The sequence below is a fragment of the Homo sapiens genome, chromosome 17 (assembly GCF_000001405.40).
Source record: "Homo sapiens chromosome 17, GRCh38.p14 Primary Assembly".
Classification (NCBI taxonomy): Eukaryota; Metazoa; Chordata; class Mammalia; order Primates; family Hominidae; genus Homo; species Homo sapiens.
The window spans coordinates 50,478,626-50,501,387 of NC_000017.11; the positions used below are offsets into that span (position 1 = coordinate 50,478,626).

Sequence of the window (22,762 nt, forward strand, 5' to 3'; positions counted from 1 at the left end):
AGAGCTCCTGGATGGGTCCGGGAACTCGCCCGGGCACAAGGTGCCAAAAGGCAAGCAGCCCGCCTCGCGGCCTGGGGAAAGAACCGACAGGAGGCCGCAGTGAGCGCCCGGGCGCCCGGCAGGTGGCGCCGCAGCCCCGGGCCCGGGCCCTCTTGTCGCGCGGTCACGCAGCCCCTCTTCCTTCCGCCGGCTGCGCACTCACAGTGATCCCTGCGCGCGTCTCCTGCTCGGGTCAGTGCGCCGCGCTGCGCTGGGCGCCATGGCGCTCCCCGGAGCCCGGGCTCGCGGCTGGGCGGCAGCAGCCAGAGCGGCCCAGAGGCGCCGCCGCGTGGAGAACGCAGGAGGGTCCCCGAGTCCTGAGCCTGCGGGCCGGCGCGCGGCGCTTTACGTACACGTGAGTAGGGGCGGGGGCGGAGCCCACGGTGTGTGGCCGCAGCCCTGGCCGTGACCGTGGCCGTCCAAAACCCAGGTGGCGGTTTGTCACTCTATGAACCCGCCTGCCGTGTTTCCGTGCCCCCGTACGAGGTCTGGGATGGGACCCTGTGCTTTGGCAGGGAAATGACTTGGTCCAGAAACCTGAAGTCTCTGCTACTCACCGGCTCGGTGACTCTGACCAAATGGTTCAAATTTCATAACAATTTTCCTCTTAGCAAGACAAAATTTTCTTAAGAGCAGTGTTCTGACTCGGTAGCTGGGAAAATGGCTCATAGGAAAATTGTATGAAAATTATATGATCCCAGAAAGAGCTTGGGTTGAATTCCTTCCTGACGTCTGCTGGTTGGAAGAGGCAGCGTAACAAAGGAGTGAGCCTCAGTTTTCTCACATTGAAGTGGATGTAATAACCCCAGTGCGACCTGCCTTGGGGAGTTGTGTGGCTTAGATGTCCTAGCTACTGTGGAAAGACCTCGGGATAGGGGTGGGGGTGGGGTTGGGGGTGTGTGCGACTGAACCCTGGAAGTGGCCAGGGCAGCTCTCACCGCGCACGTGCACTCACTGCCCCCAGTGGCCTTACTGCGAGAAGCGCTGCAGTTACTGCAACTTCAACAAGTACATCCCTCGCCGCCTGGAGGAGGCTGCCATGCAGAAGTGTCTGGTGACCGAAGCTCAGACGCTGCTGCGGCTCAGCGGGGTGCAACGGTGGGTAGTGGGGGCTGTAGGCAGCGTTTTGGGAAATATTTGGAGGAGTGGTGGGGGATAGGTGCAGGCATCCCAGAGGGCTCCCCCAGGTCTCATTTCTCCATTCTCTTTCCCCAGGGTGGAGTCTGTGTTCTTTGGTGGGGGGACCCCCAGTCTAGCCAGTCCCCACACGGTGGCTGCTGTCCTGGAGGCTGTGGCACAGGCAGCCCACCTGCCTGCAGACTTGGAAGTCACATTGGAGGCTAATCCTACTTCAGCTCCGGGCTCCAGACTGGCAGAGTTCGGGGCAGCAGGGGTTAACAGGTTGTCTATAGGCCTCCAGGTAACCCATGGCACTCACCCCATCCCAGTGCACCCCGCCCTTCAGTGCCATCTCCTCTTTGGTCACATTCATTCATTGGGCAAACATTGATTGAGCACCTTCTGGGTGCCAGGGACACAGTAGGGCCTAGTGCGACACTTTTATAACTCCTTAATTGTCTGCTGCTGTCATAGACCACAGACTTTATGAGAAAGGGATCAGGTGTGGCTTTTCTATTTCAAACACTTACCATAGTGCCTGGCACATAGTAGGTGGTCAAAAAAGATTTGCTACATGACACGGGAGACGCAGACATGTAGCCAGATTATTGCAGCATGGTAAATGTCACCTGTAAAGGGGGTCTCTATAAAAGGCTTCTAGAGTACAGCCTGAAGGGAGGTCACTCTGATGAAATCACTGAAACTTCTCTGGAGGAGATGTTTGAATGAAGAGGAAGAGTTCACCAGGTGAGGGGGTGTGGGGGAAACGACACAGGCCATGGAAGAGCCTGGCATGTTTTGGGGGAGTTGTGAGTCATTCCTTGTGATTGGAGAGGCTGGAAACAAGGTTGCAAGGTAGAGTCCAAAACCTTTGGTGCCTACTAAGGAGTGTGGGTTTTGTCCTAGTAATGATAGGGAGCCATTGAAGGTTTTTAAGTAGGGAGAAACCTAGTCGTCTCAGGTTGACCTCCGATATTTCCGTAGGACTTCCGGGTTGTGGGCTTTGTTCTGATGGAATATGCTGACAGAAACACATCACTTCTAAGATATTCTTACCCCAAAGCGCATATCTTGAATCTAATTGTCAGGAAACCCTGAATTAAGAGATTTTTACAAAATTATTGTGGTAAGAACAGACAGCATGAGATCTACCGTCTTAACAAGTTTTTAAATGTACATACAGCACTGTTAACTATAAGCACAGTGTTATACAGCCAATCTGTAGAAATTATTCATTTTAAATAATTCATTTAAATAATTATAATTCGTAAATAATAATAATTTATTTAAATTCATTAAATTATTCATTTTAAACAACTGGCCTGTATTCTTCAAAAATGCCAGTGTCATGAGAGACAAAGAAAGGCTGAGAATCTAAAGGAGACAGAAGAGACAGCTGAATACAATGTGTGGCCCCTGACTGGGGAGGAAGGAGGAAATTACTACAGTAGATGTTATTGGGACCATTAGCCAAATTTGAATATGACAATGTATTATGTAATGGTGTTGTGTCAGTGTTGCATTTCCTGAACTCTGTAATTGGATTGCAGTTATGTAAGAGAATGTCCTTGTTCTTTAGGAAATACACACCTAAGTATTTAGAGGTTAGGGAGTATAATATCTATAACTGCTATTCAATATAGTGGCCACTAGCCACAGACTAGTGAGCATTTGAAATGTGGTAAGTTAAGTTTAATTCACTTAAATTTAAATAACCACATGTGGCTACTACCTATCATATTGGACAGTACAGATATGAACATTTCCACCATTGTAGAAAGTTCTTTTGGACAGTGCTGGTTTATAATTTACTGTTAAATGATTCAGCATAATAACAGGTATGTATGTTTAAAGAGAAACAAATATGGACAAATGGTGAATCAAGATGAAGGTTTTTTTTGTGATTTTCTTTCAACTTTTCTATAGGTTAGAATTATTTAAAATTGAAAAGTAAAGTAAATAAAGACTTGATTTTGGAGTCAGACAGTCCTAAATTCCAGGTCGAACTTTGCAACTGTATGGCCTGGACAAGTTACTTAACACCTCTGAACCTCAGTTTTCTCATCTGTAAAATAGAACTAATATTGGAGGGTTACAAAGATTAAATTAGACACTACATAAAGGTGCTTGGCACATAGCGACCCTTCTGTGAATGGCAGCTCTTGGTGCCAGCTTGACCTTCCCCCTCCTGCCTTCCAGCTGCCTGCCACGTGCTGCGTTCTCCCTGTATCTGTGTCTACAATGGGGAGGAGGGTTCTTGTCTCTCTCTGAGCTGCTGGTATGCTTACACCCACCCTCTTTTCCCAGTCCCTAGATGACACTGAGCTCCGGCTGTTGGGACGGACGCACTCGGCCTGCGATGCTCTGCGGACGCTGGCAGAGGCCCGGCGCCTCTTTCCCGGGCGCGTGTCTGTAGACTTGATGCTGGGGCTGCCGGCACAGCAGGTGGGGCCGTGGCTTGGGCAGCTGCAGGAACTGCTGCACCACTGTGATGACCACCTCTCCCTCTACCAGCTGTCCCTGGAGCGGGGCACCGCACTCTTCGCCCAGGTGCAGCGGGGTGCCCTTCCAGCCCCTGACCCGGAGCTCGCAGCTGAGATGTACCAGAGGGGCCGGGCTGTCCTTCGGGAGGCTGGCTTCCACCAGTATGAGGTCTCCAACTTTGCCCGGAATGTAAGTTCTGGGGCTGATGGCTGGAGGTGGAGGATGGGCAGACTGCAGTGTGACCAGGGCGTTGTGACCTTCTGAAGAGAAGGATCCTGGCCGAGATGGTGGGACATTCTAACCTGGGGCCCCTTACCTGAGTCTAAAAATGAGGCCTGCCCTCTTCACTCTGCACTATTTCCTCCCTCCCCGCAGGGGGCGCTCAGTACCCACAATTGGACTTACTGGCAGTGTGGTCAGTACCTTGGCGTTGGGCCTGGTGAGTCCCGTGAACTACAGAAAGGGTGACTCAGGAGAGGAATGTCGTGGCTGTGTGAACTTGGGCCACATTAACCTCTCCAAGCCTCTATTTTCTCATATGTAAAATGTGGCAAAAAATAATACCTCCCTATAGAACTGTTGAGCATGAATTATAAGGGGCTTAATGTTGCACCTTGCACTAGGGTTCTCAGCCTTTAGTGTGTATGAGAATCTCCTGGAGGGCTTGTTAAAACCCAAGCTGCTGGGCCCCACCCTCAGAATTCCCAATTGGACAGGGCTAGAGGAGAGCCCAAGAATTTATATGTCTTGGCATTTTGGGATAGATGATTAAAAAAAAAAGAAAAAGAAAAAAGGGCCTGGTGTCATGTGCCTCTAATCTGAGCTACTTGGGAAGCTGAGGTGGAAAGATCGTTTGACCCCAGGCGTCCAAGACCAGCCTGGGCAGTATAGTGAGACACCACCTCAAAAAAAAAAAAAAAAAAAAGAAAGAAAGAAAGAAAGAAAAGAAAAGAAAAATAATTTATATTTCCAGTATGTTAGAGGCAGTTGCTCCAGGGACCACATGATTTAAATCTGGTAAACACATAGTATTAACAGCCATTAATGTGGGGATGGTTGTTGATGTTGTCAGGGGCCCATGGACGATTTATGCCCCAGGGGGCTGGAGGCCACACCCGGGAGGCTCGGATCCAGACACTGGAGCCTGACAACTGGATGAAGGAGGTGATGCTGTTTGGCCATGGCACCCGGAAGCGTGTCCCCCTGGGCAGGCTGGAGCTGTGAGCATCCAAGGGCACAGGGCTCTCCTCCAGGATCCCCACACCCCAAGACCATGTCTATTTGTATATCTTTTATTTCCTGTCTTGTCCTGGCCCCTGCCTTGCCACATACTGTATGGTCCCTGTTAGCCTCCTCTAAATGCATCCCAGTGTAGAATTTGGAGAATGGGAGGAGCACAGGCCTCCTCTCTAAGACTCCTTGGTGATTTTTCTTTGAGGCTGGAGGAAGTTTTGGCCCTGGGGCTACGCACCGATGTGGGGATCACTCACCAGGTAAGGAGTTAGGATTCTTGCACACCACTCCCTCCTAAAGTCTTGCAGAATCAATGCCCCCTCCCTGCCACCCCCCCCACACACATATACCTCCAATTTCTGTGAGATTGGCAGCTAGAAGTGGGGCCCAGGTCCAGCTGAGGCCTGATGGGCAGAAGCAGTGAGCAGTGGTGCATAGCTAAGAACCCTAGACCAGGGCTGCAGAGACCCAAGTTCCAGCCCTCATTTTACTGCAACCTTGGACACAAATCCTTTCACCTCTCTTAACCTCAATTTTCTGAGCTCTGTGAAGCAATAGATAGATAAAGGGTTTCCACTTGTTTTTAGGGAGCACTGAAACCTCTCATAGGAAGCACAGTAGATAATTATCAAGCAAATCCAGAGCTGCTCTGGATAAAGCAGAGCCATAAAGCCCTGGCTAGAGCTGGCTGAGAGGGGAGGGAAGAGAGGAGGCATAGAGGAAGGCCTGGCTTGGCTGGAAGCTGGGTTCCAGTCTCAGTGGAATAGGAGTGAAGCTGCCCTCCTCCCTGCTGGCCCATTGGCCTGGTTCTGCTTTCATGCATGTCAGCTGCTGAGATCTCCATGCTGAACTGGACCCTCCCCCACCTCTCACCATACCCCAACTATGTGGCCCAGAGTAGCCAGGCCAGCTCCCCACCTCTGACCCTCTGGCTTCCCCAGCACTGGCAGCAGTTTGAGCCCCAGCTGACCCTGTGGGATGTGTTTGGAGCGAACAAGGAGGTGCAGGAGCTGCTGGAGCGGGGCCTACTGCAGCTGGATCACAGGTGTGTTGGGGGGTGCCGGGCAGAGGGGGCTGAGGCATACCAGGGAGCCCTGACTACAGCTCTCCACAGACCCAGGAGAAGTGAGAAAGACTGACTGGTAAGGCGGGACCTGCGGGTGCTGGGAGCTCGGCCCTGCTGGGTGATGGGCTTGAAATTGGTAAGATGAAGTAGTCACCTTCAGGCCTCTTGGTTTTCCAGGGGTCTTCGGTGTTCCTGGGAGGGTCTGGCTGTGCTGGACTCTCTCTTGCTGACCCTCCTGCCTCAGCTCCAAGAAGCCTGGCAGCAGAGAACCCCCTCCCCTGTGCCAGGAGGATGACAAAAATGTTCCTGTGTTCCAGGGTAATGCCAGGTGGGTTTTGAGAGCTGGGTCGGTACTGCAGACATCTCTTCTCCGTTGTCGGGTGCCGTCTCTGCTCCTTGTGGTTATTGCTCAGCCCTGGCATCCCCAGGGGAATGGCAGCAGTGAGGTAGATGGGAGGACATTTCTGGTCAGGGAACTGGCATCCCATTCAGCATCTCAGGACTCACAGGCCAACATGTGTTCCATGGCTGGGAATTGCCTACCACCCACATCAGCTTCTGTTTACCTTTTTGGCATCAAATAATGAACAGTGTTTGGAAATCTTTCTACAGGCAATTACCTCCCCAAGAGAAGCCTTCCTTATTTTGGAGTAAGGTCCTAAGATAGCTGGATGAATCAGGAAAACCATGTCCCCTCTAGGTATTATTAATATAAGCAGGAAGGGATCTACTATAGGAATGAAGTATTTATAAACCACTGAAAGGGATAGAGAAGTGAACATTGGAGAAAGCCAGTAGCAACTGTGAGAAATCAGCAACTTGCAGGAGGCACAGAAAACTCCTGCTGATGGTCTCAGCTTCCAGCAGCACAAAAGCAGATGATGTACTGGAAAATGCTCAGAAGATGCTACAAAACCTCATGCCTACTGTCTGCCACTGCTGGAGAAGGAATCATGGTTTCTAGAAGTGCCTCTCATTAGTGGACTTTAAAGCAAATCCTGGCTGGCAGGAAATTCTGAGGAATATAGCTCTTAGGCTTCCAGCCTCTACCATGCAGGAGAGAACACAGAAGGACTGATGTATGTTGGTGGATCCATGTATGTGTCCAGCACAGCGGCCTGCTGGACTCTGAGAACTGGGAAAGATCAGAGCAAGCCTTGCCTCTTATCTTCGGGAAACCAGAATATGTTTGGGGTGGTAGGAGCCACACAGACTCTTCTGAGCCCCCTCACTCACTTCCTTCCCCCTGTGCCTTTCCTTTGAGAGTGAAGGTGGGTGGAGTTGACCAGAGAAAGGGGAGAGAATTCGGGAAAGACCCAAAGTGTTTGTAATTCTTCTTTGTCCTTTTACCTACAGAAATGGTCACATGGTTCTATTTAAATAGCCTAATAAACACATCTGGAGCCTGTCTTGACTGTGGTCCTCTCCTTTGAGCTCCTTCCTAGAGCGTGGAATCCTGATTTTGGGACTAGAACCTTAGCCTAGGGCTGAGATTCCTTCCCCCGCTCCCTACATTTTATTTTGAAGGATTTCAGACCTACAGAAAAGATAAAAGAATAGTTCATTGGAAGCCATATATCCTTTGTCTACTATGTAACTATAAAGTCTGGAAATAGGCAAATATTCATAATGCCATCAAGAACATCTTCAATCTATTGAAAAATATGATAGGCCAGATGGGGTGGTGCATGCCTATAATCCCAGCACTTGGGGAGGCCAAGACGGGAGAATCACTTGAGCCCAAGGGTTTGAGGCCAACCTGGGCAACATAGCAAGACTCTGCTTCCAAAAAAAAAAAAAAAAAAGTTTCCATACTTTGTGGTTACCCTATAGATTCATCAATTGTTAATTTTTGGCCACATTTACTTCATCTTTAGATAAATATGTCTGTATAATTTTTTTTCTGAATAATTTAAAAGTTGTAGACATCAGGCCAGGTGCAGTGACTCACACCTATAATCCCAGCACTTTGGGAGGCCGAGGCAGGTGGATCACTTAAGGTCAAGAGTTCAAGACCTGCCTGGCCAACATGGCAACACCCCTTCTCTACAAAAAAGAAAAAAAAATACAAAAATTAGCCAGGCGTGGTGGCACGCACCTGTAGTCCCAGCTACTCGAGAGGCTGAGGCAGGAGAATCGCTTGAACCTGGGAGGTGAAGGTTGCAGTGAGCTGAGATTGTGCCACTGCACTCCAGCCTGCGACAGCGAGACACCGTCTCAAAATAAATAAATAAATTCATTAGCTACATACAATCATTGTAGATAATTTTAACCTTTCTCCATTAAAAAAGAGCTTTCCATTTTTTAAAGGGCTGATACTTTTTTTTTTTTTTTTTTTGAGACAGGGCTTCACTGTGTCGCCAAAGCTGGAATGCCATGGCATGACCACAGCTCACTGCAGTTGTGACCTTTCAGGTTCCAGTGATCCTCCCACCTCAGCCTCCCAAGTAGCTGAGACTACAGGTGTGCACCACCATGCCTGGCTAATTGTTTTTTTGTAGAGATAGGGTCTCCCTATATTTCCCAGGCTGGTCTCAAACTCCTGGGCTCAAGTGATCCTCCCACCTCGGCCTCCCAAAGTACTGGGATGCAGATGTGAGCCATTGTGCCTGGTGAAGGGGTGATACTCTTAACCTGGAAGTTGTATGTTATATGTGTGAGACAGAGGGAGTGGGGAGGGGCATTTTCCTGGGAAGAGGCTCCATAAGTTTCATACCTTATGTCATAGGGTACCATGATGCCAGAAGTAATCTAGTACCACTGCCAAATGAGGCATGCTAAGCTCAGCCTCTAGCTGAGTGACTAAGAATGGGGCCTCCCCACCTCTCAGGTAAGCACGTGCGTTTCCCATGTGCCCAGTGGGTGTGAATATCAGTCCTTCCTTGACCCTGTGGTAATATGGTAAGTGTTACTACCTCTCCTTTATTCATGAAATATTAAGCAAGCACAAATGGTGTGCCAGGGACTGCACTGGGCAGCAGGGAGGAACAAGACCTGTCTTGGCCCTCGAGGCACTCACTGCCATGTTGATAGATGTGTAAAGAGATTAATTCCAGGCTTGTCAGTCAAGGTGTGCAGGCAGGTCGTTGGAGCCAGGGGCACGTTTGGTTCAGAGGGACTAGGAGCAGGACAGGGGATACCCTTTTCTTACCACCTCCATTGCCCCTGCTGCCCTGGAAAGCCTGGCCCTGGGGCAGCCTGTGGGGTCACCCGTGCTGCTCGGGGAGCTGTTTCCTGAGACTTCCCCTGATCTTGACATTCAAGAAGCGAGCACGGGGCCGAGGCAGGTGCGCCATCAGATAACCTGGGACCACTCAGGTTTCTCCCAGCTGCCAGGGCTCGTGCCACTTGAGACATCCGGGCGCTCCCTGCCAGGACACCTCATAAGGCCCGTGCAGAGGAGCTGGGTAGGAGCCAGGGCCAAGTCGGGGTGGCACAGATCACCTTCTGTGACTCAGTCTGGTCTTTCCTTCACCAGATGAATCAGAAGCTCCCGGAGGTGGAGCCCCAGAATCTAGTTTTTCAATGCTCATACATGGCCCTAATGATCATTCCCTTTTGGGAACCTCTGATTACAATCATTTCTTGCCTTCCATGCCAGGAGGCTGGGGGCAGGAGGAAAGGGAGACATGGCTATTTCCAGTGTCCTGTGACAAAGTGGGAAGGGGGGCCTTCATTTCACATCCCAGCCCTTCCATGACTCATCCATCAGGGGGCTTCTCCTCCTCCATAGTGGGACCTGGCTTGTCATCTTTTCACCTGCTCTACATGGATGCAAGTAAAAGGGGTGAACAACCCCCTTTGGTGATGAAGTTGGGGACATATAGTACATGTGGGTATGTGGTTACAGCTTGAAGCACCAAACCCTCTGTGTGCAGGCAGAGCACTGATCATTTGAAAGCCCTCCAACTGAGCCACCCCTCCCTGCTGCCGAATTGTGTGAGGTCAACAGGACAGCTCTTTTCATTTCCATCTTACAGATAGGGACATTCATGGAGGCCCTCTAACTCGACTCAAGTCCTATAAGCAGTAAGCAGAAGGCCCGGTATAACACTTCTGGGCATCCAGAACTTTGTGTCCCATCGTTGTTTTCTCCTTGCTGTAGGTCCAGGTCAAGTGGTCTTCCTCTTAAATTAGGCAAAGTCCAGACCTCTCAAATTTAGGGACAGGGAGGGTGAGGGTCTCACTGTGTCCCCCAGGCTGGAGTACAATGTTACAATCACAACTCACCGCAGCCTCAAACTCCTAGGCTCAAGTGATCCTCCCACATCAGCTCGCCAGCCCCTTGTAGCTGGCATCATGCCTGTGAGACCGCTCACTTCTCCTCTCACATCCTTCTGCAAAGAAAAGAACTTTAAATAATAGAATGAAATCACTTGTGTGGTAGATTGTATCATGTCCAAAATGTTTGCTACCCCTCCTTGGCATGAGCCTCACCTGAGGGCCTGGGGAGGATTATATACCCCTACCTTGTTGAACCTGGAAGGGCCACGAAACTTGCCTGGCACTGGTTGTAAGAGCCGGTGGGTGGTCCATCAGCTCTCTGTTGCAGTGACCTGCAATGTTCACATGGAGACTGTTTTGTCAGCCTAGGTCCCAGGGTGAAGAGGATGGTCAGAGCAGCCAGCCACAATAGACATGAAGAGTAGAGAGAAATTAACCCCTGCCATTGTAGACCAGTAGACTTTCCAGTTGTTGCTGCACCATATTTGAGACTAAACTGTCTGATTCAGTTTGTAATCCCACCATTCAAAGATTAGCCATTGTTAAGATTGTGGTGTGTATCTTAGCAGAAATTCTGATATGCAAATTAATGTATTTAGATACACAATCTTACAAAAATGGGATAATACACATCTTGCTTTGAAGCTTTATTGTCTTATCTAATATGTACTAAGTGTCTTTCCATGGTAAATTTATATCTAGATCCAATTTTTCAGTGTTGGGATCACAGTATGGCTCCATAGTGTACTAATGCATGGTTATGCCAAAAAATGTTGTTTTCCCAGTTTCTTTTCTTTTCTCTTTCTTTCCTTCTTTCTTTCTTTTCTTTTCTTTCTTTTTTTTTTTTCATCTCTGTCACCCAGGTTAGAGTGGAGTGCAGTGGCACAGTCATGGCTCACTGCAGCCTCAACCTCCTGGACTCAAGCAATCTTCCCACCTTAGCCTCCTAAGTAGCTGGAACCACCACACCTGGCTAATTTTTAAAATTTTTGTAGACAGGGTTTTGCCATGTAACTCACGTTGCTTTTGAACTCCTGAGCTCAAGCAGTCCTCCCCCGTTGGCCTCCCAAAGTGCTGGGATTACTGGGGTTACAGGTGTGAGCCACCGCCCTCAGCCTCCAGTTCCTTTTTTTTTTCTTTTTTTGAGACAGAGTCTTGCTCCCTTGCCCAGGCTGGAGTGCAGTGGCGCAATCTTGGCTCACTACAACCTCTGCCCCCCAGGTTCAAACAATTCAACATCAACCTCCCAGGCTCAAGTGATCCTCCTGCCTCAGTTCTCCACCCCTTTGTAGCTGATACTACAGATACACACCAGCGTGCCCAGCTAATTTTTAAATATTTTTACAGAGATGCAGTCTCACTATGTTGCCCAGGCTGGTCTTTTTTTTTTTTTTTTGAGATGGAATCTTACTGTATCACCCAGGCTGGAGTGCAATGGCGTAATCTTGCCTCACTGCAACCTCTGCTGCCCAGGTTCAACTGATTCTCCTGCCTCAGCCTCCCGGTGTAGCTGGGATTACAGGTGCCTGCCACTGCGCCCAGCTAATTTTTGTATCTTTAGTAGAGATGAGGTTTCACTATCTTGGCCAGGCTGGTCTTGAACTCCTGACCTCGTGATCCATCTTCAGCTTCCCAAAGTGGTGGGATTACAGGTGTGAGCCACCGCGCCTAGCCACCCTGGCTGGTCTTGAACTCCTGGCTTCAAGTGATCCTCCCGCATCAATCTCCCAAAGTGTTGGGATCACAGGCGTGAGCCACTGCACCCCCCTTAATTTTTAATAAATATAAATTCTGTGATGAACATGTTACGTAAATATTTTTATGCAATGGTTTGATCATTTTCTTAGGTTTAGGTTAAATCTCAAGAAGTGGAATTGCTAACTCTAAGGATTTGCACATCCTTTGTTTGGATACACAATGCCAGACTACCCTCCAGGAAGGCTGCCCAATTCACACCACTTTTGCCAGCCTGCTAGTGCTCTTTTCTCAACCTCATCAATGGCAAGCATGATCAATTTTTCCAGATGATTCCAACTTGAAGAGCATTCCTTTTTTATTTTTTTTTTGAGACGGAGTCTCGCTCTGTCACCCAGGCTGGAATGTAGTGGCTTGATCTTGGCTCACTGCAACCTCCGCCTCCCAGGTTCAAGCGATTGTCTTGCCTCAGCCTCCAGAGTAGGTGGGACTACAAGTGCACACCCCCACACCTGGCTCATTTTTTGTATTTTTAGTAGAGATGGGGTTTCGCCATGTTGGCCAGGCTGGTCTCAATCTCTTGACCTCGTGATCCGCCCACCTTGGTCTCCCAAAGTGCTGGGATTACAGGCGTGAGCCACCACACCCGGCCTAAAGAGCATTCTTGATCCTAGCTTTATCATCAGTACTGCCTTGGCAACTGTTTCATCCATCTGATTGATCACTGCCAAGTCAGAAAGCAAAGGGGATACAACCTCTGGGACCACCTAGGTAGAAGACTGAGCTGGAATTCAGTCTGATTTCCATGTCTTGTACATTACCTCTGAGTTTCTCTTACTCAGCCGACCCCCTCCTGGGAGAATCCTAGGTCTCCCTTTTATCTTTCTCTCCCTGCTGTCCCTTCTCCCTGAGGGGATTTTTAAGGCCAATTTTAAAATTATTATTATGAAACAAATAACAAAATAGAAACATTGGACAGAATTCTAAATGAAAAAGAAAAAAGGATCACCCATAATCAGTGGTCCCAACAAAATACATTTTTTTATTTGCCTTATTTGCTTGTGTTCCCTTCCAGTCCTAGTCCAAATGCAAGCCATATTTTTACCCAGATGTGACCCTGGCCCAGATCTAATTTTGCATTCTGCCCCTTTCAATTCTCTTGTCATAAGCAGTTTTCCACATTGCTACATGGTCATCATCTTATTCTAATTGTTGCACAACGTTCCAATGAGTGAATAATTTAATCATCATTACCCTAATGTAAGTCACTTACATGGTTGCTCAATTTTCCTATAATAAATACTGCTGTAGTGCCTGCTTTTGTGGATATGGCTTCTTCCTTCATTTGAATTATTTCCTCAGGTCAATTCTCAAGAGTGAGATAGGTCAAAAGGTATGAAGGCTTTAATGATTCTTGGCATGAGAACCGGAACATTGTTTTCCAAAGGGTTTTTCTTTCTTTCTTTTTTTTTATTTTCCTGCTCAAAAGTTAATACATGCTATCTTTCAACAATTTAGAAGAAAGCAAAAATTCTACTACCCAGAAATTACCACTACTAACATTTGGCCAACCATTCCTCCAGGCATCTCTGGATATACACATCTATCTATATGTATAATCTGCATAGATATACATATAGATGTAGACATAAAAATAATTTTTCACAAAAGAGATCACATCCCCATGCCAGTTTTGCAACCTGCTTTTTTACTCAACAACATGTCCTGGGTTTTTCTAATTGGTTCTGCCACCACCAGTGCCTAGGTGGTAGCAAAATGTAGTACAGCAGTAGCTGTAAGCCACACACTGTACCAAGAATTTTATGTACATTAGCTAATTTAAGCTCTGCAATAACCAAATGAGATAAGTTCTATTATCATCATGCCCATTTTACAAATGAGGAAACAGGCTCAGAGAAATTGCACAGGGTCACAGAGCTAGGGAGTGGTGGGGCTAGCACTCCAAAACAGATGTTTATACAAGTAATACACGAACACATGTCTATTGTAAAAGATAAAAATAATAAATGCAAGCAAGAGCATAGCATAGAAACTAAAGTGTGGGCCGGGCGCAGTGGCTCATGCCTGTAATCCCAGCACTTCGGGAGGCCGAGGCGGGCGGATCACGAGGTCAGGAGATCGAGACCATCCTGGCTAACATGGTGAAACCCCGTCTCTACTAAAAATACAAAAAATTAGCCAGGCTTGGTGGCGGGCGCCTGTAGTCCCAGCTACTGGTGGGGGCTGAGGCAGGAGAATGGTATTAACCCAGGAGGCGGAGCTTGCAGTGAGCGGAGATGGCGCCACTGCACTCCAGCCTAGGTGACAGATCGAGACTCTGTCTCAAAAAAAAAGAAACTAAAGTGTGAAAGTCCCATTTACACTTCCACAGAGGTTTGGTGTGTGTATCAGTTAAGTTTAGGTTCAATTGCATGTAACAGAAAACCAAAATAGCATAGGCTTAAACAAGATAGGATTTGTTTTCTTCACGTAAAAGAAGTCTGCACATAGCATTTCAGGGCTAGCATGGTGGGCCCATGCTCATTAGTCATGAAGAACCCATTTTCAGTTTATGGCTTCGTCCCTAAGGTCTCCACGTGGACTAATATTGTCCCTGGAGCTCCAGCCATCATGCCTGCATTCTAGGCAACAAGGAGAAGGCTGGAGGAGCAATGCCATGGTTTTTCCCAGATGAATCAGCCTCTCTCTAAAGAGCTTTCCCTAAAGTCCCCCACCCTATGATATAGCTTTATTTCTTTTCTAAAAAATTTTTTTTTATTTTTTTGAGATGGGGTCTCACTCTGTTGCCCAGGCTGGAGTGCAGTGGCACAATCTTGGTTCACTGCAGCCTCCACCTCCCGGTTCTAGTGATTCTCCTGCCTCAGCCTCCCAAGTAGCTGGGAATACAGACGTGCACCACCACGCACAGCTAATTTCTGTATTTTTAGTAGAGACAGGGTTTCACCATGTTGGCCAGGCTGGTCTCGAACTCCTGACCTCAGATGCTCCACCCACCTCAGCCTCCCAAAGTGCTGGGATTACAGGCGTGAGCCACTGCACCCAGCCTGATATCAGTTTATTTCTAATTGGCCACCCCTATCCACAGGGAGACTGTGCAGTGTAGTTTTTAAACTGAGCATTTTGCAGCTTCTCCAACCCCAGCTCCCCCCATAATACAAGTGCTTGGTTAACTTTTTTTAAGGGGGAAAGAATGGATATTAAAAGAAAATTAGACAATTCTGCCACCATGTATATCCTTCCCAATCCTTTCTTACAAATTTATATATGTATATATTGTGAAAGTTGATTGTACAAATTGGGTCATTCTTGCCATACTCAACTAAATCAGAGTCAATGGGTTGGGGGAAAAAGCACTTGGGACACATAACTTCGCTCCAAGAAGTACATTTTCCACGAGCTTGGCTGCTGAAACTGCCTCTTGTAACCTGAAACTAGTTTTATCTGATGGCTACTGAAACAACCTGCTGCAACTCTAAGACTGGCTTTACCCACCACCTTCACTCACCAGTCAGCACTTGCCATCCCCAAAACCTTACTGGCACCAATGAGCTATCTTTCAAAACAATTCTCCATTTCATAAAACCCCCAAGCATCTCTTTGTTCGTTGGCTGTACTAAAGACCACCCAGTCTGTGTGTATGCCCCAAATTGCAATTGTTGCTTCTGAGATAAAATGTTAAATTTAGAGATTCATCTCTACATTTTTATTTTGACTTTGACAGTATGTACATATATAATAACATAGTTTTAAATGGTACATTGTTTTAATTTACATTTTAAAGCCTTACTGACCAGATTAAACATTCTCCATTAAATATTTGTTTACTAATTATTGTGTTGTGTGCACAGTTAAGCTCTTTGCTTATTTAGCCAATTAAAACCTAGAAGATATCTTGATCCAGTTGAATGGACTATCAAGGTAAAGAGATAGAGGCAGTCTCAGTGGCTCACACCTGTAATCCCAGCACTTTGGGAATCCAAGGTGGGTGGATCATGAGGTCAGGAGATCGAGACCATCCTGGCCAACATGGTGAAACCCTGTCTCTACTAAAAATACAAAAATTAGCTGGGTGTGGTGGTGTGTGCCTGCCTGTAATCCCAGCTACTCGGGAGGCTGAGGCAGGAGAATCGCATGAACCAGGGAGTCGCAGGTTGCCGAGATCATGCCACTGCACTCCAGCCTGGGCAACAGAGCAAGACTCCATCTCAAAAAAAAAAAAAAAAAAGAGAGAGAGAGATAACAAATAGATGAATAGACGATAGGTATATTAACTCTTTGTATTACTTGCTGCAAGTGCTTCTAATATGCTATCCTTTTTATTTTTCATGGATTTTAATTTTTTTGGAAGTGAGTTTTCCAGAAATTTCAACTACATTTATATATTTAAGTCCATCTTTTGCCTTGGGGCTTTTTGTTAGTCCCAGGCTCAGACGTTAGTCCCACCTCCAGAGATATGGTTGGTGTTGAAGTTGGCCTTCTCCTCCCAAGAGGGACAGTCTAATGTTGGTGGCTAGGCCCACCTGGGTTCTAATTTGAATCTTGACTGTCACTTCCTACTATACAACTAGGAAAAACACATCTGTCATCTAAGTTCTAGTTTTCTTGACTGTTGGTGAGGGAGTTGTATCAACCCCAGGTTCTTAAACTTGTCTGTGCATCAGAACCGTCAGACGCTCCAAATTGCACATTCCTGCCCCTCCACCTCCACACCTCAGCTCAGATCTACAGAACCCGAATCGCTGTATCCAGGAGTTTGTATTTTTTAAAATGCTCCCCTGAGGCTGACATTCAGACATGTTCCAGAATCGCCGCACCAGCCAGTGTCTGAGAGTGCCTCCTACACCAGGCTCTCTGTGCAGTGGGTGAGTGAGATGAGGGTGGTGGCCCTTGGCCACTGTGTCCCCCGAAGCCAGTTGGCCCTGCCTTGTCCTCTTGGGTCAGAGCTCCCATTTCACATCCAACCTGAGCCGCAGCCCATTCTCCCTGCTTTCTCAGGGCTGGGGCTGGGGCTGGGGGTGAAAGGGTGATCAGGATCCTGCAGTGTGAGTGGGGTTGTGGGGCTGCCACAGCAATGCCCCTAGGAGGGGCCAGTGTTCCCTACTGGCTGGCTTCCCTTAGTGAAGCCTCTCATCCTGTGAATCTCCACCTCTTCAGCTCTGACAGCAGGACTGAGACCATGCCTTCCTTGCAAGGCAGTCCTAAGGTCTGCGATGATGGGTGGATGGAAAAAGTCTCGAGCAGTTCCTGCCACAAAATGTGCATTTGACAAATGTGGTAGATGTTACTATTAGTGCTTTCTTTTTTTTTTTCTTTTTCTTTCTTTCCTTTTTTTTTTTTTTGAGACAGAGTCGTTCTGTCGCCGAAGCTGGAGTGTAGTGACACGATCTCAGCTCCACCTTCTGGGTTCAAGAGATTTTCCCGCCTCAGTCTCCCGAGTAGCTGGGACTACAAGTGCTCACCAGCATGCCTGGCTAATTTTTGTATTTTTGGTAGATGTGGGGTTTCACCATGTTGGCCAGGCTGGTCTTGAACTGTTGACCTCAAGCGGTCCACCCGTCTCGCCTGCCTCGGCCTCCTAAAGTGCAAGGATTGCAAGTGTGAGTCACCGCACCCAGCCACTATTAGTGTTTTCATTGGAATTTACAGTTGTAAGGGAGGCAAAATTTTATCCCCTACCATCTTGGGGTTTTTTGGCTGGGACTCAGAATTAAACTGACATAAGACAGATTAACAGGAGAAAAACATTCAAATTTATTTAATACAGTTTTTATGTGGCACAGGAGACTTCATAAGGAAATGAAGACCGAAAGATGCAGTTAGAATTGAACACTCAGCTAGGCGCGGTGGCTCACACCTGTAATCCCAGCACTTTGGGAGGCCAAGGCAGGCAGATCACTTGAGGTCAGGAGTTCAAGACCAGCCTGACCAAAATGGTGATGTGAAACCCCCGTCTCTACTAAAAAAAAAAAAAAAAAAAATACAAAAATTAGCCAGGCATTGTGGTGTGCACCTGTAGTCCCAGCTACTCGGGAGGCTGAGACAGGAGAATCACTTGAGCCCGGGAGGCAGAGGTTGCAGTGAGCAGAGATTGCAACACTGAACTCCAGCCTGGGCAACACAGTGAGACTGTCTCAAAAAAAAAAAAAGTATACAGTTGAACACTCAAAGACTGACTTGGACAAAGGGTAGTAAATTATGAAAATCTGAGCAGGCTGTTGTGCTTGGGGTAGGGTAGTTAATTGGGTAGAAAAGTGACTAGGAAGATAATGGTTAGTTTAAGGAGGTTGGTTTGTATAGATTTACCTCAGCCTCAAATTCCCATCCTTGATAATAAGAATGATGTTTTCCTCTGGTATAGAGGGGATGTGTTTTACATGGGAATTTCATCTACTGCTTTTTTTTTTTTTTTTTTTTTTTTGAGACACAGTTTTGCTCTTGTCACCCAGGCTGGAGTGCAGTGGCACGACCTCGGCTCACTGCAACCTTCGTTTCCCGGGTTCAAGCGATTCTCCTGCCTCAGCCTCCCAAGTAGCTGGGATTACAGGCATGCACCACCACACCAGGCTAATTTTTGTATTTTTAGTAGAGACAGAGTTTCACCATGTTAGTCAGGCTGGTCTCGAACTCCTGATCTCAGGTAATCCACCCACCTTGGCCTCCCAAGGTGCTGGGATTACAGGCATGAGCCACCGCGCCTGGCCATCTACTGCTTTTAAGAAGCAGAAGGTTGGGAGGCTGAGGCAGGCGGATCACAAGGTCAGGAGATCAAGACCATCCTAATACAGTGAAACCCTGTCTCTACTAAAAATACAAAAAATTAGCTGGCGTGGTGTCATGTGCCTGTAGTCCCAGCTACTCAGGAGGCTGAGGCAGGAAAATCGCTTGAACCGGGGAGGCGGAGTTTGCAGTGACCCAAGATTATACCAATGCACTTCAGCCTGGACAACAGAGCGAGACTCTGTCTCAAAAAAAAAAAAAAAAAAAAAAAAGAAGCAGAAGGGGCCAGGCATGGTGGCTTACACCTGTAATCCCAGCACTTCGGGAAGCTGAGGAAGGAGGATTGCTTGAGTCAGAGGTTCGAGACCAGCCTGGGCAACATGGTGAGACATTCATCACTATAAAAAATTTTTAAAATAGCTGAGTGTGGTGGTGCAGCTGTGGTCCTAGCTACTCAGGAGGCTGAAGTGGGAGGATTGATTGAGCCTGGGAAGGTCAAGATTGCAGTGAGCTATGATCGTGCCACTGCACTCTGGCCCGGGTGACAGAGTGAGACCCTGTCTTAAGAAAAAAAATAAAAAAGCAGAAGGAAGGTTCACATGATCTTCTTGCACCTGCTATTTTTCAAATGCCTTTAACTCAAAATAGTCAATAAGCCAGAGCAGCAGATTTTAGGGTAGCATGTTCTTAACTCCACGGTGCCCTGGGCATGCTGGCTCTAGAGAACACAGGTCTTGAACAGGAATTCCTGGTGCCTGACAAGACAGAGAGAGACCTGTCATTTCCCTGTGCTGCTGAAACTTCAGTAGACAGCCCTGACTCCTGGAAATTTTTCCCTCTGGCTCAGCATAGAATTTGTCACCTCCTGGGTGGCTGGGAGGCTGTGCACCATGAGGCCCACTGGCAGCCTCCAGGCAGTGGGCACCCACACTATGTGACTCCTCCTACCAGTGCTCCCTGCCTTCTCTCAGCAGGTCAGGCAGGAGCGGCTCCATTCCTCAAGTGGCTGACTAATCCGGGCAGGGACTGCCCCACCTGCCTCCCAGATCCCTGACACCCGGGACACCCCAGAGGTTGCCTTTCCTCTGCCCTCACTCTAGATTAGGCCTCTCTTGGAGCCCTCCCTGCAGGCAGGGCCTCGGCTTAGGGAGGCTGCTTTAGATCTTCGGGGAAGTTGCTGAGGAAATGTGCCCCTCCTCCCAGTCCCCACCAAGCATGGACCCTTCAGATTAATCTACTAACAATAATAAGATGAGCTGTAAAAACCATCAGGCTGGCAATCCTCAGCTTGAGCGAAGTTCAAAGGTCACAGGACAATTTAAGGATCCTGCTCACACACCCTAGTTTGAGCACAGGAGCCCTGAATGGCTCCCACCTGGGTCCCCGGAGTGTGCATACTGTGTTCAGATTCCAGCTCTGCTGCCCATTCACTGCTTAATCCTGGGTGGGGCACTTAGCCCTGCTCTGCCTCAGTTTCCTCATCTGTAAAATGGGAATGCTAATGATATTCTCTACCTCACATGGTTGTAAATGTTCAGGAAGTTAGCACCCATAACTAAAACACCAAAGAAAAATAGATACATTGGAGTTCATCAAAACTTTAAAAATGTTGTACATCAAAGGGCACTATTAAGAAAGTAAAAAGAAAACCCACAGAATGGGGGAAAATATTTACAAATTATGTATCTGATAAGAGTTTAATATCCTCAATTTATAAAGAACTCCTACAGCTCAACAATGAAAAGACAACCCAATTTAAAAATGGGCAAAAGATCAGACGCAGTGGCTCACACCTGTAATCCTAACACTTTGGAAGGCCGAGGTGGGCAGATCACTTGAGGCCAGGAGTTCGAGACCAGCCTGGCCAACATGGTGAAACCCTGTCTCTACTACAAAGACAAAAATGGGCCAGGTGTGGTGGTGCACACCTGTAATCCCAGCTACTCGAGAGGCTAAGGCACAAGAATTGCTTGAACCTGGGAGGTGGAGGTTGCAGTGAGCCAAGATTACACCACTGCACTCCAGCCTGGGCAACAGAGTGAGACTTTCTCTCAAAAAATAAATAAAATAAAAATAGGCAAAGGATTTGAAAAGATGTTTCTCTAAATAAAATACACAAGTGGCTAATAAGCACATGAAAAGATGCTCAACATCATTAGCCATTAAGAAAATGGACAACAAAACTATGATATGACCCCCCCAACCCCCACTAGGATGGTTATAATAGAAATAATAATAATAACAAGTGTTGGTGAATATGTGGAGAAATCAGACTGCTGGTGGGGATGCAAAATGGTGCAGCTTCTGTGGAAAACAGTCTTGCAGTTCCTAAAAAAGTTAAACTTAGTGTCACCATATGATCCAGCAACTCCACTCCTAGGTATATGCCCAAGAGAATTAAAGACATGTAATCATACAAAAACTTATGCACAAATGTTCATAGCAGCAGTATTCATAATAGCCACAAAGTGGAAACAGCCCAATGCCCATCAATTGATGAATGGATAAATAAAATATGGCATCTTCATACAATGAAATATTATTCAGCAGTGAAATGAATACATGAAAACATTATGCTAAGTGAAAAAAAAAGACACAAAGTAGGTCTATACTGTATGATTTAATGTATATGAAATGTCCAGAATAGGCAAATTCATAGAGACGGAAAGTAGATTAGTGGTTTCCAGGGATTAGCGGGTAGGGAAGAATGGGGAGTGACTAATGGGTACAGGGTTTCTTTTGGGATGATGGAAATGTTCTGGAATTGAACAGTGGTAATGGTTGTACAACCTTGTGAATATACTAAGAAGAAAAAACACTGAATTTTATCCTTAAAATGGTGAATTTTATGTTATATAAAATTTTTTATGTAAATTATCTCAATTTTATTCAAAAAGGAATTATTACACATAAAATGCTTAGAAGGCTATGCAGGCCATGATAAGCCTTCAGTTAGTTGCCATTTAGTTTATAAACTCCACTGAATTTATGGGTTGGTCCAGATTTCCGAAGGAAAACATAAAAGGAACATCACCTTTAGAAATCGAATTCATGGCCTGGCGCGGTGGCTCATGCCTGTAGTCCCAGCACTTTGGGAAGCTGAGGCAGGCAGATCATGAGGTCAAGAGATTGAGACCATCCAGGTTAACACAGTAAAACCCCGTCTCTACTAAACATACAAAAAATTAGCCGGGCATGGTGGCACGCGCCTGTAGTCCCAGCTACTCGGGAGGCTGAGGTAGGAGAATCGCTTGAACCCAGGAAGCGGAGGTTGCAGTGAGCCGAGATCGCCCCATTGCACTCCAGCCTGGGTGACAGAACGAGACTCCATCTCAAAAAAAAAAAAAAAAAAAAGATTGAATTTGCATACTTAATACATGTTAAAGCATTTATTTGCATGTAGTTTCTTCTCTCATTTCATACTCCATCTTGATTTGACATGCTTTATATATATACATATATAATATATATAAGCATTTATTTGCATATTGTTTTTAAATTGTATTTTCATGATCACTTTTATCACTTTTGATATTTTTGAGGTGTGTCCAAGGCTTAAATCGCATTTGTTTTTGAAGTCTCAACTGGATTGAGTCTAGGACTGCCATGTAGCTCAGGGAATCCGCTTATGGTCAGGCCTGTGAAACAGCAGGATGCTCTTTGACTTTGGGCTGAAAGCCTGAGACGGAGGCTTAGCTCCATTGCTTACAAGCTATGTGACCTGGGACAAGACTAAGGTTGTCAGCTTTAGCAAACAAAAATACAGACACCCAGTTACATTTGAATTTCAGATAAACAATGTATATTGTTTAATGATTTTGTTTAATGATATATTGTTTAACGATATATTAATGAAGAACAATGATATTAAACAATGACCAGATAAACAATGAATATATTTTTTGTGTAAACATATCCAAAATATTATATGGGAAATACTTATACTAAAAAATTATTTTATATGAAATTAAAATTTAATTTATCTGTGAGAGTTTTCAAGGGAATCATATTTAATTCTCACAACGCCCCCTGCTGCCCTTTCCCATTTTTGTCATGAAAGAGACTGACTCGGAGAGGTTAAGTGACTTAGCCCAAGGTCATCGAGCTAGAAAATTATTGAGCTGGGATTTGAACTTGGGTGCGTCAACTGTAGCATGCTCTGCT

General features: G+C 46.7%; 1 protein-coding gene across 2 annotated transcripts, besides 3 other annotated features; it reads left to right on the forward strand.

The window, feature by feature from the left end:
- Positions 1-490: a silencer, noted in NCBI's record as "silent region_8699". NCBI's record gives its function as "represses an Ori minimal core promoter by ATAC-STARR-seq in GM12878 lymphoblastoid cells {active_cell/tissue: GM12878}" and the evidence as "EXISTENCE:reporter gene assay evidence [ECO:0000049][PMID:35858748]".
- On the forward strand, positions 235-7,349 carry RSAD1 (radical S-adenosyl methionine domain containing 1). 2 transcript variants are annotated; one of them, NM_018346.3, is made up of 9 exons: positions 235-394; positions 1,004-1,137; positions 1,255-1,459; positions 3,466-3,831; positions 4,018-4,081; positions 4,715-4,862; positions 5,081-5,135; positions 5,817-5,920; positions 6,119-7,349. In NM_018346.3, exons 1-9 carry the CDS (start codon positions 260-262, stop codon positions 6,234-6,236), a joined length of 1,329 nt encoding a protein of 442 aa, NP_060816.1. In that variant the 5' UTR covers positions 235-259; the 3' UTR covers positions 6,237-7,349. The 2 variants fall into 2 exon arrangements, 1 of the variants encoding a protein (NP_060816.1); NR_130911.2 differs by lacking the exons at positions 1,004-1,137; positions 1,255-1,459; positions 4,018-4,081; positions 5,081-5,135 and having other exon boundaries at positions 5,817-6,017.
- Positions 1,062-1,448: a silencer, noted in NCBI's record as "fragment chr17:48557048-48557434 (GRCh37/hg19 assembly coordinates)". NCBI's record gives its function as "represses an EF-1alpha promoter that drives an FKBP-Casp9 reporter gene in an ReSE screen in phorbol 12-myristate 13-acetate-treated (for megakaryocytic differentiation) K562 erythroleukemia cells {active_cell/tissue: K562(+PMA)}" and the evidence as "EXISTENCE:reporter gene assay evidence [ECO:0000049][PMID:32094911]".
- Positions 3,883-4,177: an enhancer, noted in NCBI's record as "tiled region #9450; HepG2 Activating DNase unmatched - State 5:Enh, and K562 Activating non-DNase unmatched - State 5:Enh". NCBI's record gives its function as "activates a minimal TATA promoter and a strong SV40 promoter by Sharpr-MPRA in HepG2 and K562 cells {active_cell/tissue: HepG2 | K562}" and the evidence as "EXISTENCE:reporter gene assay evidence [ECO:0000049][PMID:27701403]".
- Positions 7,350-22,762: the final 15,413 nt, after the last annotated feature.

Excerpts from the sequence above, each read along its gene's own strand:
- RSAD1 (NM_018346.3), top strand. The coding sequence starts at position 260 with ATGGCGCTCCCCGGAGCCCGGGCTCGCGGCTGGGCGGCAGCAGCCAGA. Across the intron at positions 395-1,003 it reads GCGCGGCGCTTTACGTACAC|TGGCCTTACTGCGAGAAGCG; the intron begins GTGAGTAGGGGC and ends CACTGCCCCCAG. Across the intron at positions 4,082-4,714 it reads GTACCTTGGCGTTGGGCCTG|GGGCCCATGGACGATTTATG; the intron begins GTGAGTCCCGTG and ends TGATGTTGTCAG.